The sequence below is a fragment of the Homo sapiens genome, chromosome X (assembly GCF_000001405.40).
Source record: "Homo sapiens chromosome X, GRCh38.p14 Primary Assembly".
In the NCBI taxonomy this organism is placed as follows: domain Eukaryota; kingdom Metazoa; phylum Chordata; class Mammalia; order Primates; family Hominidae; genus Homo; species Homo sapiens.
Genome location: NC_000023.11, coordinates 141,584,888 through 141,603,592, shown reverse-complemented (window position 1 = coordinate 141,603,592; position 18,705 = coordinate 141,584,888). Strand labels below are relative to the sequence as shown.

General features: G+C 40.0%; 1 protein-coding gene and 1 long non-coding RNA gene across 2 annotated transcripts in view; both read right to left on the bottom strand.

Moving 5' to 3' along the window:
• Window positions 1-18,705, bottom strand: part of SPANXA2-OT1 (SPANXA2 overlapping transcript 1) — a 147,091-nt gene that overhangs the window by 46,347 nt on the left and 82,039 nt on the right. The gene's annotated exons all lie outside the window — the stretch shown is intronic.
• On the bottom strand, window positions 12,831-13,885 carry SPANXA2 (SPANX family member A2). The gene is made up of 2 exons (NM_145662.4): window positions 13,754-13,885; window positions 12,831-13,106 (listed from the first exon to the last, which is right to left on the bottom strand). Exons 1-2 carry the CDS (start codon window positions 13,823-13,825, stop codon window positions 12,885-12,887), a joined length of 294 nt encoding a protein of 97 aa, NP_663695.1. The 5' UTR covers window positions 13,826-13,885; the 3' UTR covers window positions 12,831-12,884.

Here is an 18,705-nt window from a genome sequence, read left to right as displayed (position 1 = left end):
TTGTTCTTATTCTTAAATGATGGAAAACATGAAGGTTAGATGAGGATTATACGATGAAGGTATGCATACTACTAGTGCTGAATGATTATAGTCTAGGTTTGGGCCAAAAGAGAGCCAAATCAAATTAAATTGCAAGGTAGGATATAAAATTCATACAAGGTACAACATTCATAAGAAAAAAAATAATACTTATGGGAAAATGGTGGACGCTCTGCGTGTAAAATAAAAGTGTTGACAATAAGAAAACTAAGAAATAAGAACTTTTCTGACTCTTTTTGTAACCAAGTGCCCCCATTTTTCTAAGAGATAGTTTAATGGCTTTCTTTTCTCTTTTGCCCTTTCCCTTTACTTCCTACTCAGTGCTTTTTGAAATGCAAAATAAACTCTCACCTCTCCCTCATCAGACATTCTCTGCAGCGCAAGTTCATCTGGGTGCTCTGGATCTCTCTTCGAGAGTTTACAGCCTATTTGCAGATCAAAGCATGTCCCCTTGGAACTCCCATCTCCAGGGTTTCACCTCGAGAAGATATGCCAAAAGCATGTCCACTTGGACAACTGCACAGTAGATAACTGCCCAGTAGCAGGGAGGACCCCTCCCCTTGCTCATTTCTCCCTTACCTTATAAAAGTCTCTGCTTTTTGACACATGAAAAAATGCTCATCATCACTGGCCATCAGAGAAATGCAAACCAAAACCACAATGAGACACCATCTCACACCAGTTAGAATGGCGATCATTCAAAAGTCAGGAAACAACAGGTGCTGGAAAGGATGTAGAGAAATAGGAACACTTTTACACTGCTGGTGGGACTGTAAACTAGTTCAACCATTGTGGAAGACAGTGTGGCGATTCCTCAGGGATCTAGAACTAGAAATATAACTACTTTCTCATAGTTATATTTCATTTGACTCAGCGATCCCATTACTGGGTATATACCCAAAGGATTATAAATCATGCTGCTATAAAGACACATGCACACGTATGTTTATTGCAGCACTATTCACAATAGCAAAGACTTGGAACCAACCCGAATGTCCATCAATGATAGACTGGATTAAGAAAATGTGGCACACATACACCATGGAATACTATGCAGCCATAAAAAATGATAAGTTAATGTCCTTTGTAGGGACATGGATGAAGCTGGAAACCATCATTCTCAGCAAACTATCACAAGGACAGAAAACAAAACACCACATGTTCTCATTCATAGGTGGGAACTGAACAATGAGAACACTTGGACACAGCGTGGGGAACATCACACACCGGGACCTGTTGTGGGGTAGAAGCAGGGGCAGGGACAGCATTAGGAGATATACCTAATGTAAATGACGACTTAATGGGTGCAGAACACCAACATGTCACATGTATACATATGTAACAAACCTGCACGTTGTACACGTGTACCCTAGAACTTAAACTATGAAAAAAACAGTGTCTGCTTTTTGCTCCAAAAGCCAGACAGCACATTTAAATCTTGGGGCCAGCATGTCTCAGGTCGCGGAGGAGTTTGGAATATTTACGATTGGAGATATTATTTGTGGTTAATGCTCATGCTGACCTTAGCCATTAGGCTAATGCCCTTTGGATTTAGGCAGTTTTCGATTAAGGTGACTTTTAAAATGACAGTGCTTGTTCAAGATGGCGATACTCCTGCTTTGTCAATCCAGACCCTATAGTTATAAAAAGGACAAGGGGCAGCGTGTTCTTTTTGGCTACTTCCTGCTGACGAGGGGACGGAGAGTTTTTTGGCTTTGGGTTGACAGTAGGAGCAATGCCGTCTGTAGATGTTTTTGGGTAGTTGTCTGTGAAATGGCCGTGATCCTGTTAGTTAAAATTTTCTGAAAAAGCTTAATTAGGCAGGGTAAGAAAATTAGCCCCAGGCATATTATTAGGAGAGGGCCCAGAAATAGGATGGCCCATGCTATGATTGTGTTCCCAAACCAAGAACTTATTTGGTTGTTTTGGTACTCCCTTACCTTTTTAGCCTTTTCTTTATGTTTGTTTTAGCAGCGTTTTTTTACTAGGCCTGATTGGTTGATAAAGAAACAATATTCCTTACCTAATGAGAGGTAGAAGCACATGTTTGGAAAGGCCCATGTGTTAGTTTCTGTTAGTAAGCGTTATTCCTGCTAAGAGGCTAATAATTAAGCAAAATGCTACAGTAATTGAGATTGTTTTTGTCTGACATTTTACCCTGAGGGTGCTACAGTATATAGTTTTACTGCAAATAGTAGAGTGAGTAAAGCAGTTTCCACAAGGGTGGTGTAGTCAATAATTTCCATTAAAAAGTTGTAATATTTGGCTTGAAAGGAGAGATAGGAATGACAAAAGTGTTTGGTGAGGTAGGGGTGAGACTGAGTAAGACGAGCAATTCTTTCTCGGTTATTTATTTTTTATGATTTTTAGCTTACGATTTCCTATTTCTTTATTTGCTCCTGTGAGGGTTAGGGGGCTTAGAGGCAGTGCCTGCTGAAACATCTAGTTTCCAGTTTATAGGGCTTTAAGAAAGCACAGCTTATTTTGAAGTCTTGTAGTCAGAAAAATTAGAACTTAATTTAAACAGTAGCAAATAATAACTGAAAAACATCAGGCAACTCTAGAATTTAACAAGAGGGGTGTCATAGTTTTGGAAACATAATTTCCTCTCTCCACTTTCCCATTTTTATTAAAAGACAAATTATGGTAGGTTTGCTTTAGGATACTTGGCTTACTTATTTGCATACAGTGCTGCAAGAATAATTATTTGTTACATAGGCCTTTTAAATGGGCTTTGGTGGAATTTGGTTTTGTAGAAGCAATCTGAGATAAAAGACTTTTTAAAGCCAAGCCCAGCCATGGATTTGTACCATTAAATACCTATGAGTTGGGTGAATTCCTCTCCTCTTGATGTTTCAAGATAACTTAGGGTTCCTGGCCTGTTAGAAAGTGACATGTTCTGTTTACCACAGATCACAAACCCTGTACGGGGACTGTGTACACAAAATATGAGGCCAGTTTTTCAAGGGCTTTATTGGCTTTATAAGTTAAAGCTGGATTCCTTAAAGGAAAAGCACACCATTCCAGTTAAAGCCTTGGTAAGAATAACCAGTTTTTCCAATCGTGTCCCGTTACAAAAGAAAACAGATTCTTGTTGTATTTATGCAAATAACTATATTGCCATAACTTAAGAATACTCATAGATAGTTTCCAAATTTTGGAGAGAATCAGGTAGAGAGAAACAAGTATCCTCCAAATTTTGTTGATGGGAGTTAACAGTTAAAAGTTAAACAGTTAAAAGTGAACAGTTAACTCCCATACATATGGGAGTTAGCAGTTAACAGTTAAAAGCTGTTAATCGCTTAAAAAAAGTTTCTTTGACTTTGAAAGGTAAAACAAAGGGATAGCAATATTTTAAGCAAAACATTAAACAGATTAGTTTCCTATTAGTTTGGTTTATGCAGTTAATTCCTGTCCTGCTTTTTATCAGAAACCTGCAATCAGAGCTTTATAGCTGATTAGAAAACCACCCTTTGAAGAGGACTAAAACAAGACAACAATTGTTTATGGATGACAAAAAGTTTTAGGGTAGCCATAGTTAAAGACACAGTTGACAAAGATATCCGTTACCTCTGTGGCACACAATAATTTTAACAAAACAATTATAATTATTAGTGATAACGTACACTAAGATATATTAGAATGATAGGAATCTGCCATAACTTTGGAACACATCCCAATAGCATATTTATACAACTATAGCCCAAAGAAAGCCAAATACCATTTTATATTTGACAATGCTTCCTGTATGATTTTATATCAAATAAGCCAAATTTTACCATTGTATTAGTGTGCTATTAATGTTAAGCTCCATTTTTCATAAAACCTTGTAGACGCATTTACCCAATGTTCATGTTTGACCGGAAGGTAAGGTTTTTATAGACCCTTTTTAACCGTTTATACTTTTTGTTAAAGAGCAGGTTAGTGCTTTAACAGAAACCCATTGTGCTTTTATTTTAATGCTCGATTTACAGAAAACCTGAATGATACCCCTTTAACTTTAGCCAGTATGTACACACACGAAATTTTCTTTACAATTAACCTTCCAAAACTTGCTTAAACCTTTAAAACAATTTTTTAACCTTTTAATGTAGGCAAAAATCCACATTCTTAGGCCTCCTTATAATCTTTTTACCAAAAGTATATTTTACTTTCCTTACACACCTTGCTCATAAACTATTTCTTCGGTAGTTTTAAATACGTGTTACACTGCTAACTTTTAGCAACCTTTACTTTTGATGAAAACCTTGGTAAGTCTGGGAATCTAATTACGCACTAGGTGTAGGGCCTAGGACCCAGACGGAAGTGCGAAGAAGGTCTGGCTTATTCCAGCATTTAACTCCATGTGTCCTAGGGTTTATTCAGCTGCAAAGCAGGCAAGCTGTACAGCTAAGAGTTAGAGTGAAATTGTATACAGCATTCAGGAGGCCGAATTACTTTTAAATTGTGCGACATTTCTTGCACAAATTCCCTTTTATAAAATTCTTCACGACTTTCACAGACAATTTCTGACATGCCTTACCTTTCTGACTTGTTGTAAAGTCATCCCTTTTTTTAAACAACAGTTAATTTACTTTAGGACAAAAATTTACCATGTGAGATTCTTTCTTATACCAATTATCTTTTCTTTAATATTAAAGATGATAACAGTTCTTTCCCAAAACAAATTTCCTTCATGTCTGTGGACTAGACTGCCTAAGGCCACAAGGTTAGAAGTTAGCATATTTTACTAAATAGTTAAAGATATAGCTATCTTCGTTAAACCAATATTCATGCTTTATTTATTGAAAAAATTACACAAGCAAAGATTATTTTGTTTGGGCTGAGTTGTCGTTTTGTAGCCTCTGTGCCAAATGTTGACACCTTATAGTATTTTGCAGCCATAAGTATGAAATTGCTTGATTAATAAATGCAAATAAAAACGTACGCTGGCACCTCTTAACGACTTTCAACTCAACTTTTAACTTTGCTGTACCGGTAAGTTCTAAAGATTAAAATTACGAGAACTGAAAGGTCCCACAGCTTTTACTTTTCCCTTAAAAATATTTGATTTAAGTGCTTATTTTTTTGGCCAGTTAATTAGAGTTCTTTTAATAGACATCGCACACATAAAACATATATAGCCACACAGACAATCAGAAGAAGATTGAGTAGTTATGAGATTTTTTTTCTGCTAATTTTCCAATTGGATTATTGGCCTTCGGGTGAGGCCTTTTAAGAACAGGGCTAAGAAAGCAGTTTCTAGGGCCTAATGAACAAGTACAGTTGGAAGACAAAGACAGATCTTTGAGAGGTACTTATTTATCTTTAAGTCTAGGGGTTTCATAAGGAAAACAGAGGTTTTTCCCAAAACGGGATTTGTGGCACCTTTTTTGTTTTCCCAAGGAGTCCCAGGCCACCAGGAGTCATTTCAGGGTCTTTCATACATGCACCAAGAGTGGCAAGACAGAGTGGAGAAAAAGTAATTTAGTCGACCAGGAAAAAACCTTTTCCAGGAAAACAAAATTTATGAAGAGCAAAACATGAACGCGGCTGGGCACGGTGGCTCACGCCTGTAATCCCAGCACTTTGGGAGGCCGAGGTGGGCGGATCTTGAGGTCAGGAGTTCCGAGACCAGCTGGGCCAACATAGTGAAACCCTGTCTCTACTAAAAATACAAAAATTAGCCAGGTGCGGAGGCAAGCGCCTGTAGTCCCAGCTACTTGGCAGGCTGAGACAGGAGAATGGCTTGAACCCAGGAGGCAGAGGTTGCAGTGAGCCGAGACCACGCCTCTGGGTGGAGGGGAGGAGGTTATCTTGGGGCTGGCATCTTCCTGGCCAGGGTGGGGTTATCTTGGGGCTAGCTTGTCTCTGGTCGGGGAGGAGTCTGGAATGTTTCTGGTTGGAGATGTTATTTGCGGTTTATGGTCATGCTGACCTTAGCCATTAGGCTGATGCCGTTTGGATTTTGGCGGTTTTTGATTAAGGTGAATTTTAAAATGACAGAGCTTGTTCAAGATGGCAATACTCCTGCTTTGTCAGTGATGTCCTAAGCCTCTAGCCCCTGATGCCTTGGTATCGTCACTGATTGCAAAAGCTATGCCATGCCGAATGTGCATTTTCAGGAAGGAACAATCAGCATGTTTCTGAGTTTGGAGACCTGGATTCTTGCAAGAGACTGTGGGTTCCTATGATCCTATGGTCTCTTCCAGCTTTAATATTCTATGATAAAATGATGTCCAATGCTTTCTCTATTGCAAAAATCTGGCCAGACGTGGTGGCTCACACTGTAATCCCAGCACTTTGGGAGGGTGAGGCAGGTGGATCACACGGTCAGGAGATCAAGACCATCCTAGCTAACATGGTGAAACCCCATCTCTACTAAAAATACAAAAAATTACCCGGGCATGGTGGCACGCACCTGTAGTCCCAGCTGCTCAGGAGGCTGAGACAGAAGAATTGCTTGAACCCGGGAGACAGAGGTTGCAGTGAGCCGAGATCACGCCACTGCACTCCAGCCTGGGCGACAGAGCTAGACTCTGTTGCAAAAAAAAATGTGTGTGTGTGTGTGTGTGTGTGTGTGTGTACACATATGTCTGCGTGTGTGTGTGTGTGTATATATATAAATCTCGGTTCTAGTTGTTTGATGTCATGAATTTTCACATCCTATTATACTCACTAGTAATAGTTTGTAATTACTGAACATACACTATGTACTAGGCTCTGTGCTAAAAGCTTAAATATATTAATTAATTTGTTTTTCAAAACAATCCTGAGAAGTAGGTGCTAGCATTTTTTCCATTTTTCATACGAAGAATCTAAGACTCAGAGGAGTTAAGAAACTTGACCTACATCACCCGACTAGGACGTAGCAGAATTTCAGATTTGAACCAGGCCCATGATCTTACTTTTATTCCATATTTCCTCTGAACATAACAAGAGTAATACTAATGAGTACAACATTAATATAAGTTTAGTACTACAGTTGGCAATTTAATAACCCTTGCCACAACTGTGAGAACATGTAGCATGAATAGTACTCTATCCATTTTATTGATAGGGAATTAATAACTTACCAGTGTTGCTCCCTGACAGTTAAAACATGTAAATGCTTTCTAGTAATGAAGACTGCAATACTAAATTCAGGTTAACCAAATATTTCATTCACCAAATATTGCTTGCAAGTTTACATGTTCCAGGTACTGTAGTAAAATAACTGATAAAAGTATCATTTTTTTGGAAAGAAGTACAAGTACCATTTAATGTCTTCACCATTAAATGGAGGATAGCCTTTCCAATAAAGTGACTTCTGACTAGTGACCTTAAGAAAATTCGGATACACAGGCCGGGCGTGGTGGCTCACGATTGTAATCTCAGCACTTTGGGAGGCGAAGGCAGGCGGATCACGAGGTCAGGAGTTCAAGACCAGCCTGGCCAACCAATGAAACCCCATCTATACTAAAACGACAAACATTAGTCAGCCGTGGTAGCAGGCGCCTGTAATCGCAGCTACTCAGGAGGCTGAGGCAGGAGAATTGCTTGAAACCAGGAGGTGGAGGTTGCAGAGAGCCGAGAGTGCACCACTGCACTCCAGGCTAGCCGACAAAGCAAGGCTCCATCTCAAAAAAAAAAAAAAGGAAAGAAAAAGAAAAGAAAAGAAAATTAGGATACATAGTGGATATTTTAGAGAAGAAGCTTCCAGGCAGAAGTATGCAAAGACCGTGATATGGATGGCAGGTTAGAGGAATCACATGCATGGTGAGTTACAAGAGTCACAGATTGGGGAGTGTGATAGAAGCAGAGTGATTCATGAGAAGAATAAGTATTAATGTCAGAGAGGTAATAGGTGCCCACATCATGTACGGCCTTATTAGGAATTTGGATTTTATTTTCATGAAGATGAAAACTCTGTGGAGTTTTCATCAAAGGAAAAACATGATCTGGCTTAAAATATATTTGTAGGAGATCAAGGATAGAAGAAATAACCCATTGTCATTATTACATTACCAAATATTTTTCAGAATCATTTTTTGTTTGCTCAGATGATTTTCAAAAACATCTTTAGCTACTTAATTTAACTTGTTAAGTATTCAGACTTGTGAAGCTTTCTACCAATTTGGGTTTAAGCTCGTCTCCTCTCTTCTCTCCTCTTCTCCTTTCCTCCCTCCCTCCCTCCCTCCCTCCCTCCCTCCCTTCCTTCCTCCCTCCCTTCCTTCCTTTCTTTCTTCCTTACTTCCTTGTCTTTTAGATTCCTCCCAGAGCATAAGATAACACAGGACGAGGTTTGCTGTCTGAAATGAGTTCAAGTCCCCTGTTATTACAAGAGTTCAAAAACGTGATGACCTCCAAAGGATGCTTAAGAAATAGAATCAGTCTTAAGTTGTAGTGTGGTGTATGGGGATCACTCTCTAGGGTCTATATTTAGTCAATGACAAAATATTTGCTGACTTTCAAATGGATCGGTGATTTCTTGTTTTTGTTTTTGTTGTTTTGAGACAGTCTGGCTCTGTCACCCAAGCCGGAGTGCAGTGGCACGATCTCGGCTCACTGCAACCTCCACTGCCTGGATTCAAGCAATTCTCCTGCCTCAGCCTCCCCAGTAGCTGGGATTACAGGCGCCCGCCACCACGCCCAGCTAATTTTTTTTTTGTATTTTAGCAGAGACAGGGTTTCACCATGTTGGCCAGGTTCGTCTCAAATTCCTGACCTCGGGTGATCCGCCCGCCTCGGCCTCCCAAAGTGCTGGGATTACAGGCATGAGCCACTGCACCTGGCCAGATCAGTGATTCTTGATTTTCTTGGCCATGAAGAAAATGATGCAATATGCTCTTCAAGGGCCTTTCTGCAGAATAGAGAAGATGAGATGCAAACTATTCTCATTGATGAACACCTTGGTTATAACTATATCTCTTTCTCTTACATTCAGAAAATTGTATTGGAATGCAAATGGTTGTGAGAGATACCACTTTTTATTGAAACAGCTGGCACATGAATATACCTGGTTACAATGCTTGGCCGAATGAGAAATGCAATGCCATTTTATGTAATTGCACTTAATATGCATGAGTCTCACACTTAATCAATTCAGAATCTCAGAATTTCCCAATGTTGTATCCATCGAACATCTCCTGAGATGCGTATCATCCCATCTGGCCCTAAATGGCTGATTCATGCAGAACATTTTCATGTCATCCCTCAAGCCCAACCACAGGGCACCTTCAGATCCAACTCTCTTTAAAACACTTTAGTGTCCTTCTTAGGGGCATGAGAAACATCAAACTGGTTTCTTTCACCATTCTGATTCTTCAAGAAAGGAAGTAGAGCTGTTATAGGCCATTTAGTGACTATGTGCTGCTCTCAGGTAGCCCCTCTCCCTCTGCTGTCCTGCACAGAAAAACATAGTACATGATTAACTATGTAAGACTCTCTCAGGCCCATCTTCCCAGGCAGAACACTTGGACATGTCTTTCTTCTTTATTTTTATTATTTTAAACTGAACAGATAAAATGGAATGTGTCTATCATGTATCTAATGTTTGAAGTATATACATTGTAGAATGAATAAATATAGCTAATTAACATATGCATCATCCCACAAAGTTATCATTTTGTATTGAGAACACTTACCATCTACTCTCTTAGCATTTATCAATAATACAACATATTATGATCACCTGTAGTCACCGTGTCGTACAATGTATCTCTGCAGCTTATTCCTTCAGTCTAACAGAAATTTGGTATCCTTTGAGCAATGTCTTTCCAGCCACCACCACCGAGCCCCTAGTCACCACCATTCTACGCTCTACCTCTGTGAGACTTCTTAATTTTTTATTATTTTATTTTTAAATTTTTGTTAACTTTTATGTTAGGTTCAGGGGTACATGTGCAGGCTCGTTATAAAGGGAAGTTGCGTGTCACATGGGTTTGGTGTACACATTATTTCATCACCCAGGTAATCAGCATAATAGCTGATAGGTAGCTTTTCAACCCTCACCCTCCTCCCCATCCTTTACCCCCAAGTAGACACGGGTGTCTGTTGTTCCCTTCTTTGTGTCCATGTATACCGATGTTTAGCTCTTGCTTATAAATGGAAAAAGGTGGTATTCCATTTTCTGTTCCCACGTGAGTTCGCTTAGAGTAATGGCCTCCAGCTCCATCCATGTTGCTGCAAAAGACATGATCTCGTTTTTTTATGGCTGCATAGTATTCCGTGCTGTTTATGTACCACATTGTCTTTATCCAGTCTGCTGCTGATGGGCCTTTAGGTTGATTCAAAATCTTTGCTATTGTGAATAGTGCTGTGAAGAACATACGCATGCGTATGTCTTAATGGTAGAATGATATATATCCTTTGGGTATATATCCAGTAATGTGATTGCTGAGATGAATGGTATTTCTAAGTTCTTGCAGAAATCACCAAACTGCTTTCTACAATGGCTGAACTAAGTTACATTCCCATAAACAGTGTATAGGTGTTCTCTTTTCATTTCTTTCAAGGCAGCAGGTTTCTTTCTGGCCTAGGGTGTGTCTAGAAATGTTATCCAGGAGCGAGTGCCTGGAGCAGGGGCTTCACAACCCCGACCGGTGCCCTGTCCCGCTGTAGTTGAGCTGGTATTCAAGATGCAAGAAAAAAAACGCTCCTCACTATTCCATCTCCTCAAGTGGAAGGAGGGGGTCTTTTATGGAGCCGCTAGCTGGGCAGTCTGGGGCTAGGGCAGGGGTGACACCAGCACTCACTTGGCTGCCCCAGCTGGTATCTCAGGAGGTCATGTGCACCCCTCCACATACCCGCCACAATCCACTGCCTCTGGGCCCAATTCTATGCTAGAACTCACCTACGAGTTAGAGATCTTATGGCCTAGACTGCCTTTAAGGTTGTCTGAGAAACCTGGAACCGTTTCTTAGCCCTTGGTGGCAAGGTTTGCAGAAACTCAAGTTCTGATTCCTGGGATGGGTAATTTCCCTCTGGCTAGAGGTGGTTTCAATGCTCCCTTCCCAGATGGGAGTCAGCTAAGTTTGGTCTGGTTTTCCTTTCTCCTGTAAGAGACAGCACCGAGGTCAGCGACCCACAACTGCTCTGCTCTTGCTCGTCCAGCTTCCAGAGATGCTCTTTACACCATACTGCCACTGCCTAGGATAGGGAAGGGGTGGGGTCAGCGATTTAAGACTGTTTCTTCTAACTCTTCAGTGCCTCTTTCAGTGATACCGCCAGGTACTATGAGAGTTCCCCTGATTTTGGGTTCTTATGGAGGTGTTTTCTACTGTGTGGATCGTTGTTAAATTTGTGTCCTTGCGAGGGGGCTGATCTGGGCAGCCTTCTATTCTGCTTTTCTTGCTCCGCCTCTCTCAGCTTAGTTTTGGTTTGGTTTTGTTTGTTTTTCCTCTGCAATGCCTAAGGCTAAAGAATGTGATCCCGTATTACTATCCTAAATATGAAAAATTCTTTAATGTCTCGTGCTGGGTGGAAATAGTAGTTTGCAATGAGGAATACCTTCAATTGTACATATCAAAGAGTAAGAAAAAAAGCATTGGGATTTTTTGTTTTTACCTTGTGGTCCGACAACTTGAAAGAATATTCTTTTATTCCAAAGATGGTACGTGTGGGATTTTGTTCCGGAAATCAGTGCTAGGTATTTAGGTATTTGGTTGGAGAAAAGCAAACTGGTTTTTGTCTATTGATATTTAGTATATTTTATTTTTTCATGTTATCCATGACAGTGTTATGACTTAGCAAACAACAGTTACAAATAACTAAAATTGTAATTGCTCCTGCATTTCTATTTAACTCCCTCATGTATCCTGAGAAGACCTTCTTGTTTTACCTAATGATCTCTCCAACACCCCTGAACTCTCAAGAGGTAGACACTATGTGAAGGTCAATTCAAAGACAGAAACTAAAACCCCATCCACGGGTGACTCCATGGTGAATCCCTGTGGTGTCTTTTCCCGCTAACCGATGTGTATCCACCAAGCAGTTTTCTTTTTCAGTATAAATATTATACTGTTTGACATTTTAAGACACATGGTAATCAAAATCTATAGCCTTAATTAAATGATGACTTTCAGGAAATTATCATGCAAAATGGAAGTGTTAGGAAGCCGATAATAGACACACTCTCCTAAAAATGATCTCACCACATCACACCTAACCCTTCTCACCACCTTGCAGTTCACATTCCATGGGAAAAAGCTCCTCATACTTAAGAGTGTTTTACTTTCCTTTTCCCAAGTCATGGCGATTTTGAATATTCACCCTTTGCGGATATCAACACATTTCTAAAGTATACTTATCTTGATTAAAGACTGCTGAGGTCATTAAAACACTAACAAATATTTAAGATGCATTGAACATTTTGTTTTAGAATTGGCTTTTCAATCATTTCATCACAAGCAATGCTTTCCTGCCGTTTACTTACTCCTACATCTACTATCTTCTTTTGTATTGTGCTTTGTGTTTTACAGAACATTTGCTCTTTATAAAGCATCTATTTCTAGCCTAGGAAAATATCAAATGGAAAGGGGATGGGAATACCTTTGATATGTCCATTCAGCAGAACTATGTGCTGCCGGGTACAGTTGCGTGAACATATACACATCTCCACTTCCTGTGAGATAAAATTTTAAGAAGAAAATTTTCTTTAGGAATCAGTCCTCCCCCAGGCCTTATTTACAATGTCTGGCTTACTGTCAACCTGTGGGTCTGTCCACCAACCCTACAGGACCTCATATCCCTCCCTTCTCAAATGCCTACCTCTTCCCTTCCCTTCCCTTCCCCCGCCACCATCAGAAAACAGGCAGAGATATACACAGCCATCAGCTTCTCAAACTTTATTTTCATTGCCCAAGGTTGAGAGATGTAGCTTCTTGCTACTTTGCAGGTATTTCAACCATTATTTCCATGAATTCCTCCTCCTCCATTTGGAGGGGGTTGATTCTGTTCTCTCGGGCGTGGTCATTCAGCAGTTCCTCTGGAGATGTTCTTTTAAAGTTCCTCCTGTAGCGAACCACTAGTATGGTCGAGGACTCAGATGTTTTCATTTTTTTAGGAGCAGGTTGCGGGTCTGAGTCCCCAGTTGGGGTCTCCGGCATCTGTTAAGAAAGCAGGGAGAGGCCAGGAGGACATTATTTTGGGTGAACAGGATAGAGACTGGATAGCAAGGGGACTTCATGAGAAGAAGGAATGCGGGTTGAGGAAGGGGTTTGATCCAGAGAAGAAGAAGGTTGAAGCACAGAGTAGGGATCTATGGGGAAGAAGAAGAGGAGCGTGGGTAGGGTCACCTGTGAGTCCAAACTGCACCATTTTGTCAGTTCTTTGCTATTTTGCAGACCTTGGTCAAAGTGAAACATCCCATGGGGGTTCAGGCCGTGAGAAACATCCTGCCTAACCACCTGTCCGCAAGGCGGACAAAGGCCCAACTGAAGAAACATCCCTATCATATCTTGCTTGGCAGCGTTCTAAGGAACACCACAATGATATTCCACCAGAAAAAGGGCCAAACCACCTGATCATAAGAACATCTTATCAATATCCTGCCGGGCAGCAAGCCATACTGCCCAGGCCCCTCCCACCCCTACCTACAAGCACCCCAGCCTGTAAGCGGCGGTGGGCTCTGGCATTAAGCGGGCCCCCCACTTCCACAATGGTCTGCAATATTCCTGTGTTGTTGTTTGAGCCGCCCCCGCTCTGTGTGTCTTTCTTTCACCCTCGCCTTCACTTCAGAACCTAACAGTCTTACCATCTCGTTGGCCTCGTTGGAATCACAGGGGACGCTCCTCTTCACCCCGCCGGCACTGGATTGTTTGTCCATTGTATATATTGGTTCTTCAATGTCAGTGGCAGGCTTTTGTAGGTTTTGAATCTTCTCAGTGGCCCGGAGCTCTTGCCCTCCCTATGTATACCCTCCTGGTGACAAGGCAAAGCCACACCCTTGAGCTTTGTTTGATCATACAGGCAGTGTCCCAGCCAATGGCAGCCCTAGGGTGGCTTCACATCACAAAGCCCCACTGCTGACCACTCCCTGGGCTTGCGGGCGAGGGGTGACAGGGGTGTAGAGCAAACCAAATGCTGCTGTTGTTTCAGCATCCCCTGAAGATGCATCCCAAACCGATCTGCCGCCGCTCCTCATTTCTCCATGTTTAATGTTCACGGTTCACATGGAAGTCAGAGGATGATTCCTTCAAGCCCTTCCCCACAGCCATTCCTATTAAGTGATTCATTCTTTTGTCTTCCAGCCCTCACCATGACTTAGTATTTTCGATGTCTCACCTCAAATCCCCCACGCTAGTGTGGCTACATTTATTTATTGGCGGAGATGTGAATTATCCCATTTCCCTCCTACAGTTCCTTCACATGCACCTCGAAGACCATTTACTTTTGGGCTACTGCCAGGCAAATTTCAACCCATGTTCTTTTACCCAGTGTCCGTGTAGTTCAAGTTTCCTATTTCCAATCTGAAATAATGGCCTTCAGTCTGTCAAAACTTTAGTGAATAAACATTCTTTACCGTGTATCCTAGTCTTGTTTCAAATCAGGGGTGTATATTTTTTTCTCTTTTTGAAATGGAGTTTCACTCTTGTTGCCCAGGCTGGAGTGCAATGGCATGATCTCAGCTCACTGCAACCTCTGCCTCCTGGGTTTAAGTGATTCTCTGGCTCAGCCTCCTGAGTAGCTGGGATTACAGGCCTGTGCCACCACGCCCGGCTAATTTTTGTATTTTTAGGAGAGACGGGGTCTCACCATCTTGGCCAAGCTGGTCTTGAACTCCTGACCTCGTGATCCACCCGCCTTGGCCTCCAAAGTGCTGGGATTACAGGCGTGAGCCACCACACCCAGCCAGGACGGCCATTATTAAAACCACCATTGACAAGTAAATTTTGGTTACTTCTGTAGCATACAACAATTTAACATAAAGTTTATAATTAATAACATACAGAAGTTATTTCAGAATTATAAGAGTTTCCCATAATTTTGGAGCACATATCAATGACATTTCTATAAATACAGCCCAAAGAAAGTCAAACAGCATTTTATATTTGACGATGCTTCTTGTATGATTTTTATACCAAATAAGACCAATATGTCTCTTTTGGACTTCAGAGGACTCATATCAAAAAATTAATGAGGAATCAAGTTAGAATTTGACTTTGGAAAGTTCGTCAAAGATAAAAAATTTAAAATGCTTGATATCACGAAATAGGGTCATGGGTCATTGTAAAATAAGTCATTCATTTAACCAAAGCAGTAACTCAAAGATTTCAAAAAAGAAAAAAAAAAAAAGGTGAAAATCTTTATTCTTTGAGAGAGGAGGCTTAATATCCCAAACAATAAGCCCTAATTAAAAACAGGATGGGCAAATGAAATTTGTTTTTTTGAAATTTTATAATAAAAGTTTAATCATCTTGAGTATAAAATATAATTTCTATAAACCTTGTAACCTTTATCATTTTGCATGAAGGAGTGAGTTAATGCTCCAAGAAAGCCTTGTTAAACTGACACAGCAACCTAGATACTGGTTTTGCTTTAGTGTGCCTTTGATATTAATGGTTAATTCCTAGAGAAACTGAGCTACTTTTCTCTTAATATCAGCCCTTACAATCTCACATGCCCACCTCTTCCACGATAGTCCTTGGGCCTTGAGGAGTTGAATAGTTTTAATTTCTGGCCCTGCATCTCATGAACGCAGTTTACTTTGATTAGCATCTTCTACTGGGCCTGAAGATGAGGCTGTAATTGCTGTCAGTGTTTAAGATATAGCAGAACTTGGTGTCCTTTTTAGACCCAGAAGTCAAAGCCCTATAACTCAATGGCACAAGGACTTTAAAAGCACATACAGAAAGTTACACAGATGGAAGAAAACACTTTTTTAGACCTTGAAGAAAAAATTTTTGGCCTGTCATAGTGGCTCATGCCTGTAATCCTAGCACTTTGGGAGGCTGAAGCAGGTGGATCACTTGAGGTCAGAAGTTCGAGACCAGCCTGGCCAACACGGTGAAACCCTGTCTCTACTACAAATACAAAAATTAGCCCGGCGTGGTGGCAGGAGAATTGCTTGAACCTGGAAGGGGGAGGTTGCAGTGAGCCAAGATTGTGCCACTGCACTCTCAGCCTGGGTGACAGAGTGAGACCTCACCTCAAAAAAAAAAAAAAAAAAAGAAAAAGAAAAAAAAACATTTTTAGCATGAGGCCACAACAAACAGAACACAAGAGAAAAAAAGAAAAAACTTATATGAGCTGAAAATGAGTTGAAAGAGAGAGTTATTATTTTCACCTTTTAAAAGAGGAGAGTAAACCGAAAATGGTGAGATGTGATAAAAGTTAAACTTTGGGTTTAAACAATTAAAATCTTTTAATTTATTAAGAGTAAATCAACTCCTTAAGAAAATTTTATTGTTCTGATGAATTTTTTTAGTGTTTTTTTAATATCATAAGCTAAATCTGGAAAGACTATTATAAATAATTTCCCTTTAATTATAGACAACTTTATACAAATCATTTATGACAGCTTGGACTTTCTGTTTTATCCCTTCCTCTTTCTTTATTCCTTTGAGATACAGTCTTGCTCCGTCGCCCAGGCTAGAGTCGTGCAGTGGCGCCATCTCGGCTCCCTGCAACCTCCGCCTCCCATGTACAAGCAATTCTCCTGCCTCAGCCTCCGGAGTAGCTGGGACTAGAGGCACGTGTCACCACACCTGGCTAATTTTTGTATTTTTAGTAGAGACAGGGATTTGCCACGTTGGCCAGGCTGGTCTCGAACTCCTGACCTCAGGTGATCCATCCACCTCGGCCTCCCAAAATGCTGGAATTAACAAGCATGAGCCACCATGCCCAGGCTTCCTTTTTCTTAAATAACCAGTTATTTTATTTTAGAACAAAAATTTACTATACAAGATTCTTGCTCAGATAAAATTATTTTCCTTTTAACCTTTTGTGCCAAAAATGCCTGTTCATAACTTCCTTCACATTGCTTTTATTCACTGATTACCTAATTTCATAAATAACTTTTAAATAAGCTTCGAATTAGACAAAAAGTATTTTCCTTTAAGATCACATTTCTTTTTTACAGAAAAATGTTATCCTATAATTAAAAAAATTGGAAATGACCCAGACGTGTAATAAATATCTATTATTTAGCTTAATATAACTTTGGATTTTAAATTATATGACAAGATAATCTACAAGAACTTATTCTGTTACATTTGTGTAATTAATTAATTTTCTAATAGTTTACCCAGATTACTTATGAAAACTGTAATAGTTACCATTTAAAGTTATGTCCTTGTTAACCATTTTTATAACCTGTGAATTTCAGGTTGTCCTGAGTAAGAACATTAAGGTTAGATAAAGGGTCGTTTTTTTGTTCGTTTGTTTGTTTTTGTTTTTTTGGCAATAACTCAGGATTTAGCTATTTTCATTAACCAAACAATATTAAATTCCTTACTTACTAAATCTTACATAAACAAAGATAATTCTTATTTGAGCTGCATTCATAGCTTTAGAACCCTCATGCCAAATGTTGACATCTAGCAGAGATAAATAATGTATGTTGAGAATTCCAAAGCCATTTCTAATTCAATTTCACTAAAATTTTTAAAACCAGCTTGTTTATTGAAGATTTGCTTAAGTCACATGAACTTGAAAAAGCATTTGGCTTAAAGTCTATTTTTCCGAAAAGCATTAGATTTAAGTGCCTTTGTTAAGCCAATTAATTAGAGCTTTTTTCTACATTTTAAGTAGTGAAATGTCATATCCATGACACATAAATACATAGATGTATTAGACATGTAGATAGAAGTAGATCTTATAAATTCCTAAGGCCTTTATTTTTTCCTCGTATTTTAGATTTACAATTTCTTCATAACCTATTTTATTGCCCTAGGCAATTGTCAGCTAGATAGCCCTAAATGTGCATATTAAAGGAACCCTTAGGTAAAAAAAATCAGATAGTGAAATTTGCATCTCAAAGCACCGAGAGAAAGAGTCTGGTGATGTTAGAGGGAGATTGAAGATGGATGCCAAATCAAACACAAAATTGTAGAAATATAGGATTGTATAAGGAGACCAGTTGTATTTAGATAGGGACTACCTGTCTTTTAACTGGATCTCTGAGCTCTGGGCAGAGCCCACACTGAATCCTAGGTCTCCAAAAAGGGAGAATTACTATGAGGCTACACCAAGTGACGGTTTTACAGTGTACTTTTTTTTTTTTTTTTAACAAAGACATTTCTAAGTGTCCAAGCTACTTTCTTCCTTAAAAATCCAAGAATACTCTCTGTTCTAATAACTGTTTTAGTCAAAAACTTAGAATTACCATTCATCTCAGCAGTAGCCCAAAAGTAAATGGTCTTCGAGGTGCATGTGAAGGAACTGTAGGAGGGAAATGGGATAATTCACATCTCCGCCAATAAATAAATGTAGCCACACTAGCGTGGGGGATTTGAGGTGAGACATCGAAAATACTAAGTCATGGTGAGGGCTGGAAGACAAAAGAATGAATCACTTAATAGGAATGGCTGTGGGGAAGGGCTTGAAGGAATCATCCTCTGACTTCCATGTGAACCGTGAACATTAAACATGGAGAAATGAGGAGCGGCGGCAGATCGGTTTGGGATGCATCTTCAGGGGATGCTGAAACAACAGCAGCATTTGGTTTGCTCTACACCCCTGTCACCCCTCGCCCGCAAGCCCAGG